The following is a 22,918-nucleotide window of genomic DNA, read 5'->3' as shown; positions in this document are numbered from 1 at the left end:
CATCATTGGAAGCTCCTGCATACCATAAGCTACTAGAGGTCAGTAAACATATTTGTGTGTATCCTGGAGTACCTAGAAGACAGTCTTCCATGTAAGAAGCATTTTACTTGTTGTTTTTTGAGATGGGGTTTCACTCTGTCACCCAGGCTGGAGGGCACTGGTGAGATCTTGGCTCACTCCAATCTCCATTTCCTAGGCTCAGGTGATCCTCACACCTCAGCCATCCAAGTAGTTGAAACAATAGAGCTATGTCACCATAGACCTGTGTCACCATGCTGGGCTGAGTTTTGTAGAGATAGGGTTTTGCCTTGTTACCCAGGCTCTTCTTTAACTGTTGGGCTCAAGTGTTCTGCTCGCCTCAGCCTCTCAAAGTGCTGGGGTTACAGACATGAGACATTCAGCCTTAATAGTTGTTTAATCTGAATAAATAAACAAATGAATTTTTATATAATGGAATGTTATAAGTAATATAATAAACCTAATGTATCTAATCATTAAATATTGTATTTAAAACATTGCTTACATTGTATTATTTTTTAATATTTAAGGGTGTATAAGTTTTGACATGTTATGTTGAGAAATTATGCAATAATTAAAAAGGAAATAAAAGAGAAATAGGTCATCGGTAGCAAAGAGGGTTACAATATATTTTCTAGTATCATTCAACTGGAATCTTAACATTGAGATTTTAGATTAACATTTCTTAAGGTTTTTATTAGACCCAACTCATGTTCCATTAAATATACCGTTTCAAGCCATACATTACTCTTTATTATTATTATTATACTTTAAGTTCTAGGGTACATGTGCACAACGTGCAGGTTTGTTAAATATGTATACATGTGCCATGTTGGTGTGCTGCACCCATTAACTCGTCATTTATATTAGGCATATCTCCTAATGCTATTCCTCCCCTCTCCCCCCACCCCATGACAGGCCCTGGTGTGTGATGTTCCCCATCCTGTGTCCAAGTGTTCTCATTGTTCAGTTCCCACCTATGAGTGAGAACATGTGGTGTTTGGTTTTCTGTCCTTGCAACAGTTTGCTCAGAATGATGGTTTCCAGCTTCATCCATGTCCCTACAAAGGACATGAACTCATCATTTTTTATGCTGCATAGTATTCCATGGTGTGTAAGTGCCACATTTTCTTAATCCAGTCTATCATTGATGGGCATATGGGTTGGTTCCAAGTCTTTGCTATTGTGAATAGTGCCACAATAAACATACATGTGCATGTGTCTTTATAGCAGCATGATTTATAATCCTTTGCATATATATCCAGTAATGGGATGGCTGGATCAAATGGTATTTCTAATTCTTGATCCTTGAGGAATCTCCACACTGTCTTCCACAATGGTTGAACTAGTTTACAGTCCCACCAACAGTGTAAAAGTGTTCCTATTTCTCCACATCCTCTCCAGCACCTGTTGTTTCCTGACTTTTTAATGATTGCCATTCTAACTGGTGTGAAATGATATCTCATAGTGGTTTCAATTTGCATTTCTCTGATGGCCAGTGATGATGAGCATTTTTTCATGTGTCTGCCATACATTACTCTTTAGAATTCTGGTGACCAATTCTTTTTCTGGGTGGAAAGTTGATGGAAAGTTCCAGTTTTCTCTCTCTGTTATAATAATGTTCTTTCAGGTAATGGTAGATGACCATATTTAGCTAATTGAATGTCTTATAGTAAGAAACACTATCACAGAAGTACTTACAAAAAACTAATTGCAGCATAAATACTAATTAGTATTATCAGAGTTATGAAAGACCGAAGGCTCTGTTATAGATCTATTTCCCCATGTACTTTATTGTACTTCATGTTTTTCGTTTTCTTTCTTGGCTTAAGCTCATATTTCATTGACTAATTAGGCTTGTTTTTTGTTTGTATCTCTCTTTGTTCTCACATTTTAAATTGAAATTTTTGGGGAGGCAGGGTCTAGCTCTGTTGTCCATGCTGCAGTGTAGTGGCATGATCTTGGCTCACTGCTGTATCCACCTCTCAGGCTCAAGTGATCCTCCCACATCAGCTTCCCAAGCAGCTGGGACTACAGGCACACACCATCATGCCTGACTCCTTTTGGTATTTTTTGTGTAGAGATGTGTCCTCATTATGTTGCCCAGGCTGGTCTCCAACTCCTGAACTCAAGCAATCCACCCACCTTGGCCTTGCAAAGGGCTGAGATTACAGGTGTGAGCCACCATGCCTGGGCAACATTGAGATTGATTTAAAGAAATTGATTAGGGCTGGGTGTGGTGGTGCACAATGCTTATCTCAACATTTTGGGAAGCAGAAGTGGAAGATTTGCTTGAGCCCAGGAGCTTGAGACCAGCCTGGGAGGTATAATGAGGCCTTGTCTCTACAAAGATAACAATAAAAACATTAGCATGACATGATGGTATGCACCTGTAGTTCCAGCTATTCAGGAAGTTGAGGTGGGAAGATTGCTTGAGGTCAGGAGTTTGAGACCACAGTGAGCCATAATCAGGCCCCTGCATTCTAGCCCTGGGTTGACAGAGTGAGACCCAGTTTCATAAAAAGAGATTGATAAGAAACTCTTGATGCAACTCATTATAATTTTAAATGGAAACTAATTCTTGATATTACCTTAGCAGTGTGTCCCCCAGAAAGTGTCAGAGCCTTTACGTGGACCTTCTCATGAAAACGGAAACAGAATAGTCAATGGAAAAGGAGAAGGTGAGAACCGTATTTTATTTAAAAAGTCATTTGATGGAGACCAGACGCGGTGGCTCACGCCTGTAATTCCAGCACTTTGGGAGCCGGACGTTGGCGGGTAATGAGGTCAGGAGATCAAGACCATCCTGGCTAACATAGTGAAACCCCATCTCTACTAAAAACACAAAAAAATAGCCGGGCATGGTGGCGGGTGCCTGTAGTCCCAGCAACTCGGGAGGCTGAGGCAGGAGGATGGTGTGAACCTGGGAGGTGGAGCTTGCAGTGAGCGGAGATCGTGCCACTGCACTCCAGCCTGGGTGACAGAGTGAGACTCCATCTCAAAAAAAAAAAAAGTCATTGATGGAATGTTTCTTTTAAAATATGAGCACTAATAGAGTTTAATAGCTAAAGAAAATGTCCTATTAACTGTATCATAAGTAAAAGAGAAATGAAAAGGTGATAAGTGGTGTCTCTAACCAAGGGTCAGCAGTTGATTCTATTGGAAGTACCACTAAAGGAGCTGAGTTATGAGTTCCATTTTAACATACTCTAAGACCTGAGGCAAGTCAGGAGAGAGGGAAGAAGAAATGAATAAAAGAGAAAGAAAGAATGAGGAGGGCAGAGTGTACATGGAATAAATAAAAAAAAGTGGATGTATGTAATGGAGGGTAGTAAAGTCAAATTGATCTGTAGAAGAAGGAAGAACAGGGTGTTAGAAATAGGAAGGAAGATAAAGTGAGCTTCCAGTACCAAAATGTGTCATATAATTACAGTAACATTTTCCTTCTCTTGCTGTCATTCTTGCTACTGGGGAGGCATTAAGGATTGAGGTACTTTACCATGCAGACCTGTGTTTTATCTACCATAGATGAACATCACCGTAAATGGTCAGCCATGTATGGCTATAATTTGTTTTTATAGAAAATGAAAAGAATAGTGTTGGGTGATTTATTGGGAAGAAATTAATTAGAGAAGCTTTGCCTGATTAAAAGTTCATTAGAAACATTATGGCTTATAACGTAGTATTAAATTCAGGGACATAATAGGAAAGAAGTTGAGGCTAGGCCAAAAAGGCCAATTAGGGTAAACCAATATGGAAGCACACCAGTGTAGAACAGGGCATTCAAATTGTCATGAATTCGTTGAGGAGCTTCTGGAAAGTGCACATTCTGACTCAGCAGGTATTGGAGTCTGCATTTCTCATGAGCACTCAGGTGATGTTTGTGCTGGTCCTTGGACACAGCTCTGAATAGCAAGGGAATAGCCTTCCTTTAGAGAAATCTGGAAAAAGAACCACTGGAGAGCAATTTAAAAAATAACAGAATCCAGGGAAAGCTTTAATTTCCTTTTATTTCTGAGCATGATTCTAGCCACAAGGGAAGGAAAATGAGATGAAAAAAGAGAGATTACAGGTGTATACTACTGCTGAATACAGATGAAAAAAGTGGTCACAATCATCCATATAAAGCAGTTAGGAAGGGAAGCATCAGGATGACAGTTCTGATAATCATTTTTTCAAAGGAAGAGGGATGGTGAATGGACACAAAAGGAGGAAAGAAAGACATTTGCTGGGGTCTTGGGAGTTAAAGCCAAGTAAACTTGAGACAACTCACTTCCAGTTGCTTCAGCATATGCCCAGTCTCACAAAAGAGGTTATTGCTGTGGAGAGTACTGGAGACAGGAGGGAGTGCTAGAGTTGGGGTAAACCACAGCAGCTCATTTCACTTGATAACTGTCAGGCCTCAGGGAGAGAAGTTTCACTGACATGAGTGAATAAGATATGATTAAGTTGCATATAGATGCTTTGGCGAAATTTTTTTGAGACAGCCAGTTCTTTGATATGATAGCTGTTTTATAAAAGTCCTTTACAGTGTAAGATAATATACCAAACTTAGTTAATTTTAGAAGTAATCATAAAATTCATTCCATGAAAACCAAAATTATCATTTTTAATAAATACTGCACTGATTTTGAAATATAAATATGTATTAATATCCAGCAAGTCTGTGGTCATTCAATGTTTTCTTTTTTGATAAATATTTTGATATCAGAAGCTTATTCGACATGGTTTATTTGATGTGTTTTATGGACCACCTTGCATGAGTGGATCAAGGAGCTCTAATTCAAGGCCAAATGAGGGGATAGGAGAAATGTAGGTGCTGCAGTAGCCCATGTGATCATGGGAAAAATGAGTACTTTGATTAGCTGTTATTTCATAAGTGTGTATCCTAGCTGATCAATGTAGAACCCTTTCTTTGATGAGAGGTGAATCCCACATTCACCTGAACTGTCATCCCAACTGAGTATTTCCTCAGTGACAAGACAAGGGGAATTTATTTGTGCTGTGCTGGCAGCAATGCCTCTGGTGTGTGGAGTTAAAATACTCTGTACATTCACCATCAGCTTTGACATTGATTCTCTCAGGTTTGATTTGCCCCTCTGTTTAATGGTCCCTTTTCTCCTCATTAGTCCACGTGTTCACGGTTATATCAATGCTTTTCTATTTTAAGTATAGGCATTTGAAACATAATCTCACTACTGAAATGTAAACTGTGCATTTTGGGAATCCTATATTCCTATTTTCCTCATTGTGTTTCTGTCATGTTGCTGTCCTAGGCAATGAAAAGACGAAGCCAAGAAGAACCCTCAAAACCTTAAGTAAATATTTTTATAGCCAGGCCTGAGAATTCAGCTCGACAGTAACACTGCATGAATGTTTGGTTGGTCCTGTCATACTTACATATAATTGATGACATATCCCCTTTGCTTTGTAGGGCCTCCTGCAAAACATCCTTCCTTGAAGATAATTAATTATGTATATTTTTGAATCACTAACTCCATGTTGTATAAAATATATATGATTTATGAATCGTTTTCTTTTAAAACCCATTCAGCCTAGCACTGAAGTGGAAGATCCTGCTGTGAAAGGAGCAGTACAAAGAAAGAAAGTACAGACATTGAGAGCAGGTACATTTGATGTAATACTGGAAATAAAGTACATTCAATGATTGGATGTACTCATATTATTCTTATTCCTAATTCTATTTGTTCAATATTGAACAGAAGGCATTGACATAAATGTTATTGTTGGTATCCATATTTGAATAAAAACAAATTTAGAAGCATAAAAAAGATTTTAAAAATGTAAGCTTTAAGTCAGATGTTTCTGTTTTAATGTTTTGAATAGCATGAAGTTTTCAGTATAAAATTTTTATACTTGTCAGGGATTCAAAGCAGTGAATTTTGAGACTCTTAAGATATTTCCAGTGAGTTAAGTGCTAGTTGGAGTTCTGATCTTTACCTAGAGGAAAGCTTTACCTATTAAAGTGTCAGTTTCTGTTTTAACTTCAGAGGCTTGCTGCTAGTGTTATTACACTGATGATCTGAAGCTTATCAGATGTTCTAATGAGCAAGACTGTGTGTGTAGGTGTATATATAGATGTGTGTATGCGTGCGCTTGTGGCATCTTTCACTATTACAAATGACGAAAGTAATGATTCATTTATGACTGGTAGACACAGTCTTTTAAAATGGTGATTTTGAGCCTTTTTAGTGTTAAAGTTTTTAAAACATGATTGCATAGAGGCTACCAACATCATAAGTTGGTTGTTTTTCATTTCAATGCCCTTTTGAAATCTTTAACTACATTGTGATGCCCAGAAATAATATGCAGAATTTTTTGTGTCCTAAAATAGTATGTGAGTGGTTATATACTTTATATACCTTTCTGCCACTTTCTTTGGTGTGTTTTGTATTATATTTTCCACTTGTACCCACATTGGTGTGATTATCTCTGGTTTAATTCATTTTACACTGTTCATTGTATTCCCTCATACCACTTTACCACATTTAGTTAGACTCTCCTGTTGCTGATAAATGAAGAAATAAAAAGAAAAATAATGTCAGTTTAAGAGGGCTTTTCTTTAATCAGTTTGTATCTATTAGCATTTACTATATGAGAGTTTAAACCTGAAAAGTTCAGAATACAAGCATGCACCACCATATTTTATTAATGCCCTTAGAACTATGACTCATGAGCCTTTAGCCTATGAAGTTAGGACAATTCATTTCTCTGAAGAAGAATGCTGGGCTGTTCTCAGAAAAGAAAACTGAAAATAGCAAATGATATTGTCTTATTTTACCTCTTGGACATCCTTGAATGAAACTGCTACTAAAGGGATACTCGGATCAAAATTCAGATCTAATGTTTTGAACAGTATAGTTTGTGAATGTCCAGTGATCATGAGCCCTTGATGGGGAAATGACCTTTCGAGTTTCACTTTTGCATTTTTTGCTCTTTTCGTTGACTTGTCTTGAAAGCTTAAATTCAACTATTTTATTTTTACAGAAATCAGGAATATAACTTTTAAAATATATGTCTGTCCTGTCTCACGGTGTTGTGTACTCTTCAGATCTTGTATGAACATAGACTTATATGGGAACAATTAGGTTTTTTGTTTGTTTGTTTGTGTTTTTGAGACAGAGTCTTGTTCTGTCACCAAGGCTGGAGTGCAGTGGCTCAGTCTTGGCTCATTACCACCTCTGCCTCTCAGGTTCAAGCAATTCTCCTGCCTCAGCCCCTCGAGTAGCTGATACTACATGCACGTGCTACCATACCCTGCTAATTTTTCTATTTCTAGTAGAGATGGGGTTTCACCAGGTTGGCCAGGCTGCTCTTGAACTCCTGACCTCAGGTGATCTGCCCACCTCGGCTTGCCAATGTGCTGGGATTACAGGTGGGAGCCACTGTGCCAACTACAAATAAGATTTTTAAGGCTATTATATTTTATACAATTCTTTGGTCTATGTGAATTCTGGAGGTATTCATGCATTGAGGGAAGATTATCTCAGTTTAATGAAAGCAGTTTTTAATTTAAAGTATATTCATTAAAATTTTTTTTGAAGTTTTTTTCTCTAGTACACAGAAACACACAATAGTATCATGGGTATTTGACCTTAATGTGTTTATGCACAAACTTAGTTATTCAAATATTTTCCTATCCCTGAAGAATCTTAATTACTAATAAACAAATTTCTCATGGAAAACAACATATATAACAGAGATGGTTGAGTGATTGAAAGTAAACTGTAGTAAATACCAGAAGCTTAGAACAAGTTAAGTAAACTTGTCTGAGTTAATAGCAATTACAAGACTTTTAAAATACATTGGACCACGGGGGAGTAGTGCATTTGTGGGGTAGAGGACAACATGGTACTGCTTCAGTGAAGAAAGAACTTTTACACCTTATTACAATTTGTATTATTATTTACATTCTAATAAATAAAAACTTTATTTTCAGATATTTTACATCATGTTTCTACTAGTTGAACCATCAATAGTAAGACTTTTCAAAGATTTGGGAAGTTGTGAGTTGATGATAAATATCTGTATCACCATCAGTGATCAAAAATCAGACAGCAACTACCATAGATTTTGGACATGCGAACTTCATAGTTAAAGAAAGGATTAATCTTGGAGCTGTGTTTCTATCAAGGAATTACACTCTTCATTACCTGTGTGAATCGCAGTTATTAGAGTAGAAAGAGAGCAAAGAAGGGAAAGAAGCATAGAAAATTTTATTCTAGATTACCTCGTTTGGCTTCATGCTACCATAGTTCTGACTTTTAAAGAGTCATTTTGTGGTCAAATATACTTTGTGTTCACTCCCCTTATGCAGCCTACAACCAAACAGAATGGTTCTTAGCAAGGCATTTGTATTCTTCCCTTAAGGAAAGCAACATATAAATAAGAAAGGGAATGAGAAGAAAGAGTGATTTCATTGAGGTTGGTATTTAACATAAATTTGAGTACAGGTACCATGATTATATTTAGAATTTTGTGGCTGGATGGGAAAACCAGCTAGATGTCTATAGATTTCCTACTCAAACACAATGTGCCTTTGTTTTACTTTTACGTCTCTAATTTAGCAATTATTAGGTACAACTGTATGCAGTGTCACTAAAAATACCTCCCAAAACCAAATATTAAATAATGTCTATGGCTTTTTGTTTTATAGTGTTGATTTTCCCAATATTAATGGGAACCACTGAGCATTTGCCTTGTGGTGTCTCCTCAGCTGTATTCACATATTCCATCACCTTTTCTTAATGGATAATCACGCACTATGAGTAAGGGTTTTCAGAAAAGCTGTGTCATTTAAAGATAACACAGGAGCATCAAATTTAATTCTGCTAGGACGCCTGGTCTACTGATTAACTGCAGCTAATATGAGGTCTACTTCACATCCAAGTTAAATTCAGTGCCCTTAATCAGTCATATGATGAGGTCAACAGTAATAAATTATGCAATATTTTTTCACCCACCCCTATAGTTTTAATTTCTTTTTCCCCTTATGTCTGTGTTTAACATTTTGCTTTGCAAAACATGATGATAATCTTCTAGAGTAGTGAGGACAAGCTATAAATCCAAAGTTTCTTACCTATGCAAATGACTTGTTTGCTCTATTTTCTCATGAGCTTGGTAGATCCAGGGAACAGAACTTTTAAAACAAAATCCCCATATGTTGCTGGGTGCGGTGGCTAGTGCCTGTAATCCCAGCACTTTGGGAGGCTGAGGCGGACAGATAACTTGAGGTTGGGAGTTTGAGACCAGCCTGACCAACATGGAGAAACCCATCTCTACTAAAAACACAAAATTAGCTGTTCATGGTGGCACATGCCTGTAATTCCAGCTACTTGGGAGGCTGAGGCAGGAGAATCGCTTGAACCCAGGAGGCAGAGGTTGCCATGAGCTGAGGTCACACCACTGCACTTCAGACTGGGCAGGAAGAGTGAAATTCCATCTCAAAAAACAAAAACAACCACAACCACAACCACAACCACAACAACCACCACAAAACCCAAATGCATTTCCTTGGCACAGTAAAACTGAAACAGAAAAAGGGTAAAGTAAATACAAGTAACTGAAAGAGTTTATGTATATTACTTTACTTCTCATTTGATTGATAAAATTTGTAAAGTAATGAGCAGAGTGTATTTCTCCAGGGACCGAGATATATACATTTATTTATTCAATAGAAATTCATTCTTATAATGGCCACTGATACCTATATCCTAAATATTTCTGAAAACATCTCCTCAGGCCTGCATCATCTTTGCAACATTGCCTTATATTTTATCTTTGTTCATTGATTTATATGCCTCAGAATTTTATGCTCCTCACAGTATTTAGAGTGAATTATCCCTAATGCAAATAGATCCGTGAATCACTCCTGAATACCTAATGTCTAAGCATCTTAAAGGTTTATATAAGGATTTCAGAAACTGACTTCTGGGTTGGGCACGGTGGCTCATGTCTGTGATCCCAGCACTTTGGGAGGCTGAGGCAAGTGGATCATTTGAGATCAGGAGTTCAAGACCAGCCTGGCCAACAAGGTGAAACCCCATCTCTAATAAAATACAAAAATTAGCAGGTGGTAGTGGCACGCGCCTGTAATCTCAGCTACTCAGGAGGCTGAGGTAGGAGAATTACTTGAACCTGGGAGGCCGGGTTGCAGTGAGCTGAGATCATGCCACTGCCCTCCAGTCTGGGAGACAGAGTATAACCTTGTCCCAAAAAAGAAAAGAAAAGGAAACTGATTTCTGCCCAAATCTCCATCTGTATCCCTTTCCCCATCTGCCTTTTTCTCTGGAATTACTGAGTTGCTGGTAATGGCCCCCTCACCATTCCTCTTCTGCAGAGAAATACATACGCTCTTGGAGGCTTCTCTTCCTCTCTTGTTGCTGCCTGGCATGTGCTCACCCTTTCCTGCCCTCTGCCTCGCTTAATCTGGCTAACCTCACTCTCTAAGTCTCAGCTCATGGATGATCTTTAGGAAAGCCATCCCTGACAGCTTCTATTTTCCTTCCTTATTCCCCAGTGCCTAACACTTAGCAGGAACTCAATAAGTAATTATTTAGCAAAATTAAGACTGCTTATACAAAGATGATTCAAAAGATTATCCTCTACAGTCTAGCAGCAAAGGGGTCAACATGTAAAGACATGATGTGCAGGTCAGGTGGTAAAGTGACACTAGAAAAATTGACAAGGTACTAAGGGACCCCAACGAAGCAGACACCTCTGTGTGTGGAGAAAGATACCTAGAATCAAGGAAGATTTCACATAGCATTCTGAGCCTTTTTTTTTTCCTCTTTTTGGAGACAAGTTCTTACTCTATCACCCAGGATTGGAGTGCAATGGCATGATTGAGACTCACTGAAACCTCAGACTCCTGGGCTCGAGGGATCTTCTCATCTAAGCTTCTTGAGTAGCGGGGACAACAGGAACATATCACCATACCTGTCTAATTTTTTGTAGAGTCAAGGTTACCTATGGTTCCCAGGCTGGTCTTAAACTCTTCGCCTTGAGCGATTCTCCCATTTTGGCCTTCCAAAGTGCTGGGATTACAGATGTGAGCTATTATGCCCAGCCTACTTTCTGAGTCTTAAAAGATGAAAATAAATTTTTCAGAATAGCAGGGGAAAACATTTGTGATGTAAAAAATGGGGTGCACACTAATTGAGGTATAAACAACAATAATTTTGCAAATTATTAGTAACTGCCAACTCAATTAGTGTCTTGTTAAAAAGATACTGTTATGAAGTATAATAAAGCATTACGTTGTATATTTTGACTGTATTTCAAATTTCTGTTTTGTTTCCAACAGTTTTGTTGACTTATGTTGGGTGGAACAATTTGTGAGTGACCCTGAGATTTTACATGGCTTGAATCTGGTGATATCTGGTGTCTCCCCAAGTGGTTTGTTGAAGTTTTGGATAATTAGAAGTATTTCTTACAGAAGTAAATATTTCAGTAAACATTGTTTCATTCAAACTCTCAAAATATAAAATACAAAGAAATGTTATTCTCTATTTATTTTTATAAAGATTATAGTCCTTATCTAACTCTTCTTAGTTCATTTGAACTAAATCAATGACTTTGTCAACAGAACAAACCTTACCAGTGGCTTTAGAGGAAGAGCAAGAAAGGTGTGAAAGAAGTGAAAAGAAGCAATCACAGGTATATGAAAATTTAAGTTCTTGTTTAATATTAGGGTTTTTTTTTGCTTTACTAACAAAGCATAGTCCAAATGACATGACCTTTCAGACTATACCTTTAGAATCCAATAGATCATAATTTTATATTTAATTTTTAAAACATCTTAACCAGTTATGAAACTTAAGATATTCTTACTATCTCTAGTAACTATTAGTTATTCTAGTAATTCTTAGTATCTCTAGTAATTCATAGCTGTATTTACCCTTAGAATTGAGGCAAGAAATTTTCAGAATTACCTTGCTGTTTTATTTATATAACCTTACTCATAATACACAAGGTAACATGAAGTATTGGGTCATATTACTGAGGAATAGAAATTATGAACAGTTTAACAACAATGGCCACTGAGTTAAACTAGTGTTAAAGGAGTCATCATTGCCAGTGCTTCAAATGTTGCAGTTTTATATTGCTGGTCACCAGTGCCGAGGTTAAAGATTTATTCTGTTTTGTGGTCACCAGTTGACTTCTGTGTCTGTGTTCAGGGAGTGAATGGGGTCATAAAAGTCAATGCAGTTGCCTATTAAGAGAATCCTACCTTGCAGAATGGGACCTTTGGTGTCAGGGTGTGAACAATAACTTTATTTCAACATAAATACATAGTAAACATTACTGAAATTTAAAAAATCCAAACCCTATCACTACTGGAACTTAAAATATATTAGAAGTGGATATAAGCAGAAATTCTATCTAGATACATAACACTATCATAGTATATCATTTGAATTAGAATTTAAAATTTTACTTCTCTTTCTTATTGGTGTTCAGTTTAGCTCTTAATAATTTAGTGTTTGCCTAGTGCTCTAGTTAATCTTCAGAAATAAACATGCACTGTAGGGGCTCACTCTTTCTGGTATGCTGAGGTAAAGTCTTTGTAAGAGAGGAAGCTTTTATAATACTACCTATCATCTTTGAATTCATTTCTGGTAGATTTTACACAAATGCATTAAGTTTAGTCCAAACAGACAGTGAGAGTTCAGCTTGCTGGTTCATGTTTCTGTCCTATGTTAAGCCAAAGCAAATTATTTTTCACTTTTTAGTTACAATCCCATAATTTAAGAGTAGCAACACATAGATTAAGTTTCACAGTTAAATTTTAATTATTTTCTAATATTTCTTTGTTTATACTTGATTAAAGCTAATTTTAAAACATGCACTCTGACAGAAAAGACATCTGAGAAACAAAACAAGCAAATTTGTTTTCCATTTTGCACCTGCCCCCCACCAAAAAAAGTCTCAAGAACCAGAACTGGGTAAGAACAGTGATAAAGGGAATCAATCTATATATTCATGACTTTCTTTAAAATTCATTACAAACAAGTTCAAGCTGAATATTGGTAAAAGTTCTGAAAACTCCAAAATTACTACTTGCCCTGAGGAAGAGCTCCTACATGGTAACTCTAAAGAGGGATGAACAAAAAAGGAGTGCCCTCTAGTCTGATGAATCATGTCCCTGATTGTGAGGAGAAAAATGTATCTGGAGGGTCTAGCTCTGTGGCAGTCCAGGCAGCGCCTGAACAGAGGAAGCCCATGTCAAATGTCTTTTTATTCCATTCACACTCCAGGTCCCTGAAATACACTTACCAGTCATCTTCTAAGCTTCATTTAATTTAAAATAAATCAGACTATAAAAATGATAACAAACCAGACACACAGCTTGTTTCTAACACAGATGATGGAAATTTTTGTTATGATATAGAAACTGAAAAAGTAAGGAACCCAGTAATTATGATTGAAATGAAAGATGATTAAGAGTTTGACATGCAAATGGAAAAATATATAAACCCAAATACCACTAATTGGAAATTAGGCATTGGTCTCAGTCTAGAGATCCAGAAAGCCTTTTTGATTTGTGGTTTACCCACCCCAAAGAAATGAAGCATATGATTCAGATAGAAAGTCACAGTATTTCTGCTGCTACAGATACTTATAAAAACAGAAAACCAACACAGTGCTTATTCCAGAAGCCGCTGTATGAAAATCCCAGTGTTAATAACTACAAAACCATGAATCTTGAACTATAAAATGCGGGTTATTCTTTGCCACATAGTGAGAGAACATCAAAAATATAGCTAGAAGACTTACAGCAAGATATTTCAAGGTCACCAAGATATCACATATATACATATGTAACAAACCTGCACATTGTGCACATGTACCAGAACTTAAAGTATAATAATAGTAAAAAGAATGAGGTAGGCATGTTACAAGTAGAGCTCCTGGCTTTGGAGAAACAGAAAGTCCAACTTCAAAAAGACAGAGGTTCACTTGCTGCTTCTTTTTTCTCTTTATCAATTATTTGATTTAGTCAAATTTTCTATTCAAGAAAATCTCATGTGTACAGTTACAGCGGGGTTTTCTAAATGTGTAATTATGTGTCAAAGTAGATTAGTCCTGCTATCTAAACAATGGTTCTGGAGAATGTTCTCATAATGTTTCTTCATTAATCAACCTAAGTCTCACTCTCAGTCTTCCAAGTGGCATATGAGCTGGGAAACTAATTCAGCCATATACCACGTGACCTTCTGAATGAGATCAACATAAAGAAATTGCTAAAGAAATAAGCTTTAGATTCTAGATTCTTTTTTCTGTATTCATTTAGAGATGAATTACATTTATTTAATGATAGAATGGGAATACAATGGGAGGGAAGCAATGACTGAGACGAGCCACAAAAACACGTCTAGCCTTGAGAGTTGCAATGAATATTCCCAGCCAAATGAGTCTGTTTAATGTATTTTCATGCATGCAAGTTCATCTGCTTAGCTCAAACTGTTTGAACTTATAGTTCCATCATGGTTATTTCCAATATTTTGAAAACAAATATATACTTCCACATATTTTAAAAAATCACCACTCCAATATTTCTGTTGAATCAGTCCTTACATTATGTTGTTTAATAAAGTATCATAAGTTTTGGCATGTGTGATTTTTATCATGTAAGAAGCATAATTTCTTAGATAAAAATTTATCCTTTGATTCTTTAGTAGAAAGTTGAGTTCTGTACATTGTGTCCTAAAGATAGACAAAATCTAGAGATTTTCTTCTTCAAAGTAAAAGCAGATGAGGCCTTTTTCCACCCTCTGAGGCGTTAAATTGCTTTGCTCAACTTAGACTTTTAATATATCTGACTAATTTGATAAATTTATTTGGTAATTTATGTAATTCAGCAATATGGAATTGTATCATGTTATTTGGTGCCATGAAATGCTAGAGAATGCCACCTCAAGAGCTCTCGATGAAACATTTCATATGTCTTTGTTAGTTTGACTCCCATTTTCAGTAGATAATGGGGCTAAAGTAGATAACTGTACCGTATGTTTTCCACCTATAACTTTTCTGATAATTGAATGTGAAATCTGGGAAGCATGTCGTTTTCCAGAATTCTGCACTGGAAACTCAGCAGTTTCACTCTGCTTCTTGTGTTGTGGCAAACTTTGGTTCCCATAGTTCAGGGAGAACTTTCACTTTTTTGATATCCCAGAATTAAAAAAAAAAAGAGATAAAAGGCAATGGGGAAAAGAATAGCTCAGTGTAGAAAAGGGAAAACTTCTTTACTGTTCCTGAAGCCCTACAAGGTCACATCCTCTTAATCTGGCTATTTCATGTAAAATCCAGGTGGCAATGACAGAAGATATATGTTATGCCTGTGTCTTTTTATTTCTCTGTTTCTGCCAGTCAGATAACATAAATATTTATATCAGATAGCAAAGAGTGGATGGGAATAAAAGCACAAAATGGAGAAGAGTCCTTTTTGAAATTTTGGAAAATTCTTCTATTCACTCAAACAGAAATGAGCAGACTTGACAAAAATTTCAATGATAAAATGATGAGTATCTTATAATTATAATAATTATGTATAATGATAAAATTAAAGTAAGCACAAAATATTTTTATCATTAAAACGGTGATAGTTAACCTGAATCAAGTGAAAAAATCAGGGAAAAACTTCTTTTTATTGAATAAAATAATAATTATTATTCATATTACTTTTGTTAAAGGTCAAAGAAGGAAATAATACAAACAAAAGTGAAAAAATACAACTATCAGAAAATGTATGTCATAGTACATCTGCTGCTGCTGCTGACAGATTAACCCAACAAAGAAATATTGGGAAAACCTATCCTCAGCCTTTTACCAAGAAGCTGAAGGAAGAGCATCATAGGTAAGTAAGCCTATAGCAGTGTTTATTTATTTATTTATTTATTTTTTGAGGTGGAGTTTCTCTCTTCTTGCCCAAGCTGGAGTGCAATGGTGTGTTCTCACCTCACTGCAACCTATGCCTACTGCATTCAAGTGATTCTCCTGACTCAGCCTCCCTAGCAGCTGAGATTACAGGCGTGTACCACCATGCCCAGCTAATTTTTTGTATTTTTAGTAGAAATGAGGTTTCACCATGTTATCCAGGCTGGTCTCGAACTCCTGACCTCAGGCGTTCTGCCCATCTCGGCCTCCCAAAGTGCTGGGTTTACAGGAGTGAGCCACCGTGCCTGGCCACCTATAGCAGTATTTCGCAGCAGACAATTGTCATTGTGCTATAAACTAATTCAAAATTGGACTAATATTCCTTATGATTAACAAGTTTTATATTTTTACCAGAGATATTTAGCCCTGCCTGGTAATCAGAAAAGTGCAAATTAACATAAAATAAGATATATTTTGTAAAGTCATGCTGGTATTGAAAAAGTAATTACTACCATTGGCAAATGTGAGGAAAAAGGCATTCTCATACACTGTTGGTATATGAAATTGGTAAATTATTTCTGAAGGGTAACTTAGTGCTGTGTATCAAAATTTCAAATAACCTGACATCTCTTTAACTCAACAACTCCACTTCTGGGACTAGATTTCACAGGAAAACATAACTTGTGTAAACATACACTTATTAAGGGCATTAATTATATATTACACATAATGAACAATAGCTTAATAAATACATAAAATATATGTAATAAGAAGGTGAATTGGAAGTATTAAGAAAGAATTATAAAAAGTGTGGGGTAACAGATGTTAGACCCTTTAGCCTAGTTTTAGTTGACAATCATCTGCAGATATAGTTTGTGTGAGAGACATCTTACTCTGTAAATCATTTGGAGAGACACCTGCAATATTTCATAAAGATGAAAATTTATTTCTAGTGAACTTATACGCTTGTCAATAAATAGTAACTTTAAAAATTTAGTTGATTGTAAATGACCTTTTCTAATCGGGGAGTAATTATGACTGTGTGATTTGAAAAGGTAATTTTGAAATTCTAACTATACTGAATTATCTCCAGTATCCTTTTTTATAATATATGCTAGAGTGACTAGTAACAAAAACTTCAGCAGAATATTCTTTCCTTACTACTTTTCAAGTATATGCATTCTTTTGAAGATGTTGAAGTGAGAGATTAAATATCTGAGAACTAAACAGGAAAAATAATTCAGAACACAGAAATTTTATTAGGATGATAAAGAGCATCTGCAGAGGTAGATCACAGGATGAACTCTTTATTTTTTAACAAAATGAGTTTTAAGATAAATGTCTTTATCTGCAGATGCATCTTAAGATAAGAAAATAAAGAAAAAACAAATGTTAATATGCTGTACAAAAAAATAGAGAAGAATTAGAAAGGAAAGAGAAACAACATAAGAAAGAAGTTGAAGCAAAGCAACTTGAACCAACTGTTCAATCACTAGAGATGAAAACAAAGACTGCAAGAAATACTCCAAATCAGATAAATCAATCTTTGGTAAAAATTCTATATTTTAAACTATTTTATGAAAGTTTCTTCTAATATTCTCTTGATTTAATATATAATATTTAGATCTAAAACAAACCAGAAATGTTATCTCATTTTTAAAAAATGAATGATGCCACTTACAGGTACAATTATTAATATTTATTATAAATCTTGGCATCCACATAAGATATTATTTTATAACAAAGAGCTTTTGAAAACAATAATATGCCATAGTATATACTTAGTGATAACCTATTGATAAAGATTCTGTTCCCAGTAAAATTGTTCCTTGTACTTTCCCCTATTTCATATTGATTACTGTACCTAATATTATAAAGAGGAAACAAATTATTGCAATCACAAATAATCTCATGATATTCTAAGAAGAGCTCTATAAATTTTATCTTATTTACCATTGGTGTTTTGAAATAAAAGTTTTCTTCCATATGGATATATTTACACCACAGAAGTAACTGTGATATGTCAGAGAACTAGAAGTAGAGTCAGAAGTCCTGGGGAAAATCCTGTAGCTTGCTTATATTTTTAACATTTCTTTTTCAAAATTGTGATAACTAGATGAGTTCATCAATGAATGTATATAGGAGTGACTAGTATAATGTCTAGATTTATGATTTAGTAAATGTAATTCTTACAACTGAATATAAAAGTGTTAAAAGAGTCAAATTGAAATAGAATGTTATCAGCGAAACAGAACTGTAATAACTCTGGGAAATTTTATCTGTCCAAATACGTGTGAACCAAGGTTCTTACTATAGGGTGTTGTATGGGTTAGATATCAAAGTGTAAATGCAATTTTTTGATATATTTTAATTTAGTCAAATTTGTTAATGCTTTAATTTATGCTTTTCAGTTTGTTGTAATTCAAGGAAAGGCTTTTCCAATTCTGAAATTCTTAAAAATTCTCTGGTTTGTGTGTGTGTGTGTGTGTGTGTGTGTGTGTGTTTACTTTTATAAATTCATTGACTTTAAATAAATTTCTGAACTTTTTGGAATTTATGCTCTATAAGGTTCAAAGTGTTGCTTCAACTTTGTCTCCAGTTGGATATCCACTTACAGTAACCTTTTTAGTGTATGGATGTGCAGGTTATTCTTTAACTTCAGAGGTAATCACGATATTTTATTGAGTACTAGCTAAAACTTTCTTTAGTTTTATTTAGGATTTTCATAATCACGAAGAAATGAAAGATCTGATGGATTAAAATTGCATTTTGAATACAGATATTGCTATATTCAGACAGGAAATGTGCACAATGAAAAATGACAACCTGGAAAAAGAAAATAAATAACTTAAGGAAGTTAAAATTGTTAAAGAAACAAATGCTGTCCTTGAAAAGTATATAAAACTCAATGAGGAATTGATAACAATAACAGCATTCCGGTATCAACAAGAGCTTAATGATCTCAAAGCTGAGAATACAAGGCTCAGTTCCGGACTGTTGAAGGAAGAAGAAAGCAACAAAAGACTGGAAGCTGAAACTGAATCTTATCAGTCTAGACTGGCTGCTTCTATAAGTAAACACAGTGAAAGTGTGAAAACAGAAAGAAACCTAAAACTTGCTTTAGAGAGAACTCAAGATGTTTCCGTACAAGTAAAAATGAGTTCTGATATTTCCGAAGTAGAAGATAAGAATGAGTTTCTTACTGAACAACTTTCTAAACCACAAATTAAATTCAATACCTTAAAAGATAAGTTCCTTAAGACAAGAGATACTCTCAGAAAAAAGTCATTGGCTTTAGAAACTGTACATAACAACCTAAGCCAAACACAGCAGCAAATAAAGGAAATGAAAGAGATGTATGAAAATGCAGAAGCTAAAGAGAATAATTCCACTGGAAAGTGGAGCTGTGTAGAAGAGAGAATATGTCAACTCCAACATGAAAATCCGTGCATTGAACAGCAACTAGATGATGTTCATCAGAAAGAGTATCATAAAGAGATAATAACTAATATCCAAAGAAGCTTTATTGAGAGTGGAAAGACCTCATGCTAGAAGAGAAAAATAAGAAGGTAATGAATGAATGTGATCATTTAAAAGAAAGTCTCTTTCAATATGAGAGAGAGAAAGCAGAAAGAGTAGTAAGTATCAAGGAAGATAAATATTTTCAAACTTCTAGAAAGAAAATTTAAACATTTGGTTCTGGATACATGTTGAACTTAGTTGAATATAAAAATCAATAGATAAAAAGTGTGTTTACCATACTGTATAATTCCATGTACGTGAAGCATCCAGAAAAGATAAACGTATAGGGACAAAAAGTAGATTAATATTTGCAAAGGGCTGGGACTAGAAGCTGGTAGTGACTGCTAATGGGCATGAGGGATCTTGCAGTGATGGAAATGCTGTAAAGTTGGATTGTAGAGATGGCTGCACAACTCAGTAAATGGACTAAAAATCTTTTAACTTTAAGTTAAAACAGATACATTCTATAGTATGTAAATTATATTTCAACAAAGCTGTTTTAATAAAAAAAGGAAAAATGTGTTTACTATATCAGCTTAGAAACATGCCTCATTTCTAGGAAATAAAAGGTAGAGATGAGAGATGATTTACTTTGAGAAAAGACATTGTGTCACCTATGAAATTTTATTAGGCACAGAGTCATATTTTAAGATAGATAGTTCTGTACTGCTGAAATAATTTTAATGACTTTATGTTGCCACATGTTAAGACCATAATGTAGGTATAAATGGAAATGTTTACACCTGAAATGAGTATTTTCAAATTAAAATTTAATTAAGTGATTTCCTTCGACACTTAATTCTAGACTTCCCAGATGAACTGAAGTGTATTGCTGTGTCTTGTAATACCTTGCTTTAAGTAGTTTTTTATGTGTTTTTTTTTTTTGGTATATCTTTGTTATTATTCATATTAATTTTAAAAATCTGAAAATACTTCAAATTACATATTTTTATGACTACGTAATGTTGTAAAGGCACCTACATGTCATAAAATCATAATTTAGAATGAATGTAATAATTAGCAAAACTATGTTTGATTTAGTTTTGCCACTGGTATTTATAGTTTACTTTGACTATTTATATTAATAATTAGCTCATAATTTTTATTTCAAGGCTCAATGACTATCATTGGAATATAATTTTGTTCAGTACAAAGATACTTGTAGCTGCCTGTGATTTATGAGTAAGGCATTAGATCCCCATTTTCAGACTGAGGGGTGGCAGGCTTCATGTACAGTGGGAATGGAGTAATTACAGGAAGGAGTTGTAGGAGCTTTGAAGTCAGAGAGGGAGGTAGAGGACTGTTTACCTAGGGCCTCAAAGGCCATTGGAATTTCACTTTTATCCTGAGATAGGAATCTGTTGGAAGGATTTGAAAAGGTGATTGAATATGTTAGGAACTTTGAGGTTGAGTTGAGCTTCTAAGATGATTGAATGGTGGGATGAACCTGTTGTGTAAGTAAGAGAATACCAATTTGGCAGGGAGTTAAATATTATTAACATAATTTAATAATAAGGCAATTTATAAAATCAGTAACAAAAATATTTTCTCAGGTGGTTGTGAGACAACTTCAACAAGAAGCGGCTGACAGCCTAAAAATATTAACTACGTTAGAGTCTCCACTGGAAGGTATGTCACATTATCACATTAATTTGGATGAGACACAGGCCCCAAAGAAGAAATTATTTCAAGTGAAAAGTCAAGTGTGTATGGAATTTAACATGTCAACTCTTATTCTGTAGCTAGTTGAGTTTATATAACGTGTTTTAGGATACTAATTTTGGCAGAAGCTTGATTTTTTAGTTTCATTACAATGAATTATTTCCATTTTACTATCTTTATAATGTACTTATTTTTTTATATTGTGACTTTCATTCTACCATTTTGAAAAACCATTGCATACCTTTTCTGTTACAATATGTACCCTTGGAAAAGTGGAGAATTATATATCATTCCTCATAGAAAACTTACTTTTTTCCTGTAAAAACAGTATTTTTAAGTAATTTTTGTATTGTTCTGATGAGGCAGGCCAGATTAAATCAGAGGAGAATATTTCATGGAAAGTTCCAGAAAGTTGTCTTATTTCTTCACTTTCGTGAATGGACACAGAATCTGTGTCTATTTATTTCACAGATTGCAGGTTAACTTGTACAGAAAGGCCATTATACTATTCTTTGAAATGTGCATGTTTTAGGTTAATTTACAAACTATTTGAAAATTTAGGCATTTTCTTTATCTTTAATTTAAAATATACTATAAAACTCTAAAAATATTTAGATTTGATATAGCATGTAAGTCAAAAATTGAGAGTTGAGAAAATTATCTTGATCCTGCCTTTGGATTTTAAAAACAGTTTCACTGAGATATCATTCACATTTGAGAGAGTTCAACCATTTAAAATGTACAACTGAGTATCTATTAGTATATTCACAGCATTTTCATCACCCTGAAAAGCAACCCCACATCTCCTAGGCATGACTGCAGCCTTCCTCCATGTCCCTCCACCTACCTCTGTTGTAGGCAACCACCATCTATCTACTTTTGTCTCCATATATTTACCTGTTCTGTATATTTCGTATACATAGCGTTATACAATATGTAGTCCTTTGTGACTGGCTTTTTCACTTAGCATAATGCTTTCAGAATTCATGCATGTTTTAGCACACATGAGTAGTTTATTTCTTCTTATAGTTAAATGATGTACTATTCCATGGCTATACTGGTTTTCCATTCATTCATCAGTTGATGGACCTTTAAGTTAGTTTCCACTTTTTAGCTATTATGAACAATGCTGCTGCGAACATTCACTTACAGGTTATTATGTGGACACGGGTTTTTATTTCCCTGCCATTGGACTTTATCCTCAGAGTTAATTGGGCAGATTTCAGCACTTGTCTTGCTCATGCTATCCTTTCTGCCTTCTCAGTTTCTGTTCATCTAGCCTCATTCACTCAGACGTGGCAGACAATTTATTGTTTTCATGAAGCTTTCTCTGACTGTTCTCTCTTTGACCTTATGTGTTAGCAATCGTTGTCTAGTCTGTGCAGAAAAACTTAGTCCTTAATTTTACATGGCTTTTATTTTTTTATGGAAGATAATTTTCTCTCATTATAAATTTGCTTAATGGGGGAATAGTATCTAATATGTATGTCACCTATCCTTGCATACATTGAAAATATTTTAGCTTAGAAGTTTGTAGCATAGAATTCAATACTTCTTTATACCATACCAATTATTTATTCTTTGAGACCTTGACACAGTAAGGTTTATATTCTAAGTGTATTTTTAGCAATTAAATATCAAAGCCAACCCAATTAGTCTAATACAGGAGACTCGTTCAATCACATGTTTATGTTTTTCTCTCTATGAAAAAGAATCTAAATTGGCCTTTTTTCACTATGCAGCAGAACTGTGTTTCTGGACCTCTACCAGTTTGTCAGCTGAGCAGTTCTGGCTGCAGCTTGTCTGTTGACGGATA

General features: G+C 35.1%; 1 protein-coding gene and 1 pseudogene across 1 annotated transcript in view; both read left to right on the top strand.

Annotated features, from left to right (window-relative positions):
* The window catches only part of LOC105379417 (putative ankyrin repeat domain-containing protein 20A2), a 39,693-nt gene extending 22,382 nt beyond the window's left edge, over window positions 1–17,311 (top strand). Inside the window, exons 3-8 of the mRNA XM_017030104.2 lie at window positions 2,615–2,699; window positions 5,453–5,481; window positions 5,573–5,645; window positions 11,627–11,697; window positions 15,735–15,898; window positions 17,273–17,311. Coding sequence (XP_016885593.1) covers window positions 2,615–2,699; window positions 5,453–5,481; window positions 5,573–5,645; window positions 11,627–11,697; window positions 15,735–15,898; window positions 17,273–17,288 — 438 coding nt within the window. The 3' untranslated portion in view covers window positions 17,289–17,311. The remainder of the gene's footprint in view (window positions 1–2,614; window positions 2,700–5,452; window positions 5,482–5,572; window positions 5,646–11,626; window positions 11,698–15,734; window positions 15,899–17,272) is intronic.
* A 105-nt stretch (window positions 17,312–17,416) lies between these two features.
* Window positions 17,417–19,712, top strand: LOC100289026 (putative ankyrin repeat domain-containing protein 20A4; annotated as a pseudogene).
* The last annotated feature ends 3,206 nt before the right edge of the window (window positions 19,713–22,918 follow it).

Source organism: Homo sapiens, unplaced genomic scaffold, assembly GCF_000001405.40.
Source record: "Homo sapiens unplaced genomic scaffold, GRCh38.p14 Primary Assembly HSCHRUN_RANDOM_CTG4".
NCBI classification, from domain to species: Eukaryota; Metazoa; Chordata; class Mammalia; order Primates; family Hominidae; genus Homo; species Homo sapiens.
Note: the sequence above shows the minus strand (reverse complement) of the source record. Positions and strands in the feature narration are given on the sequence as shown.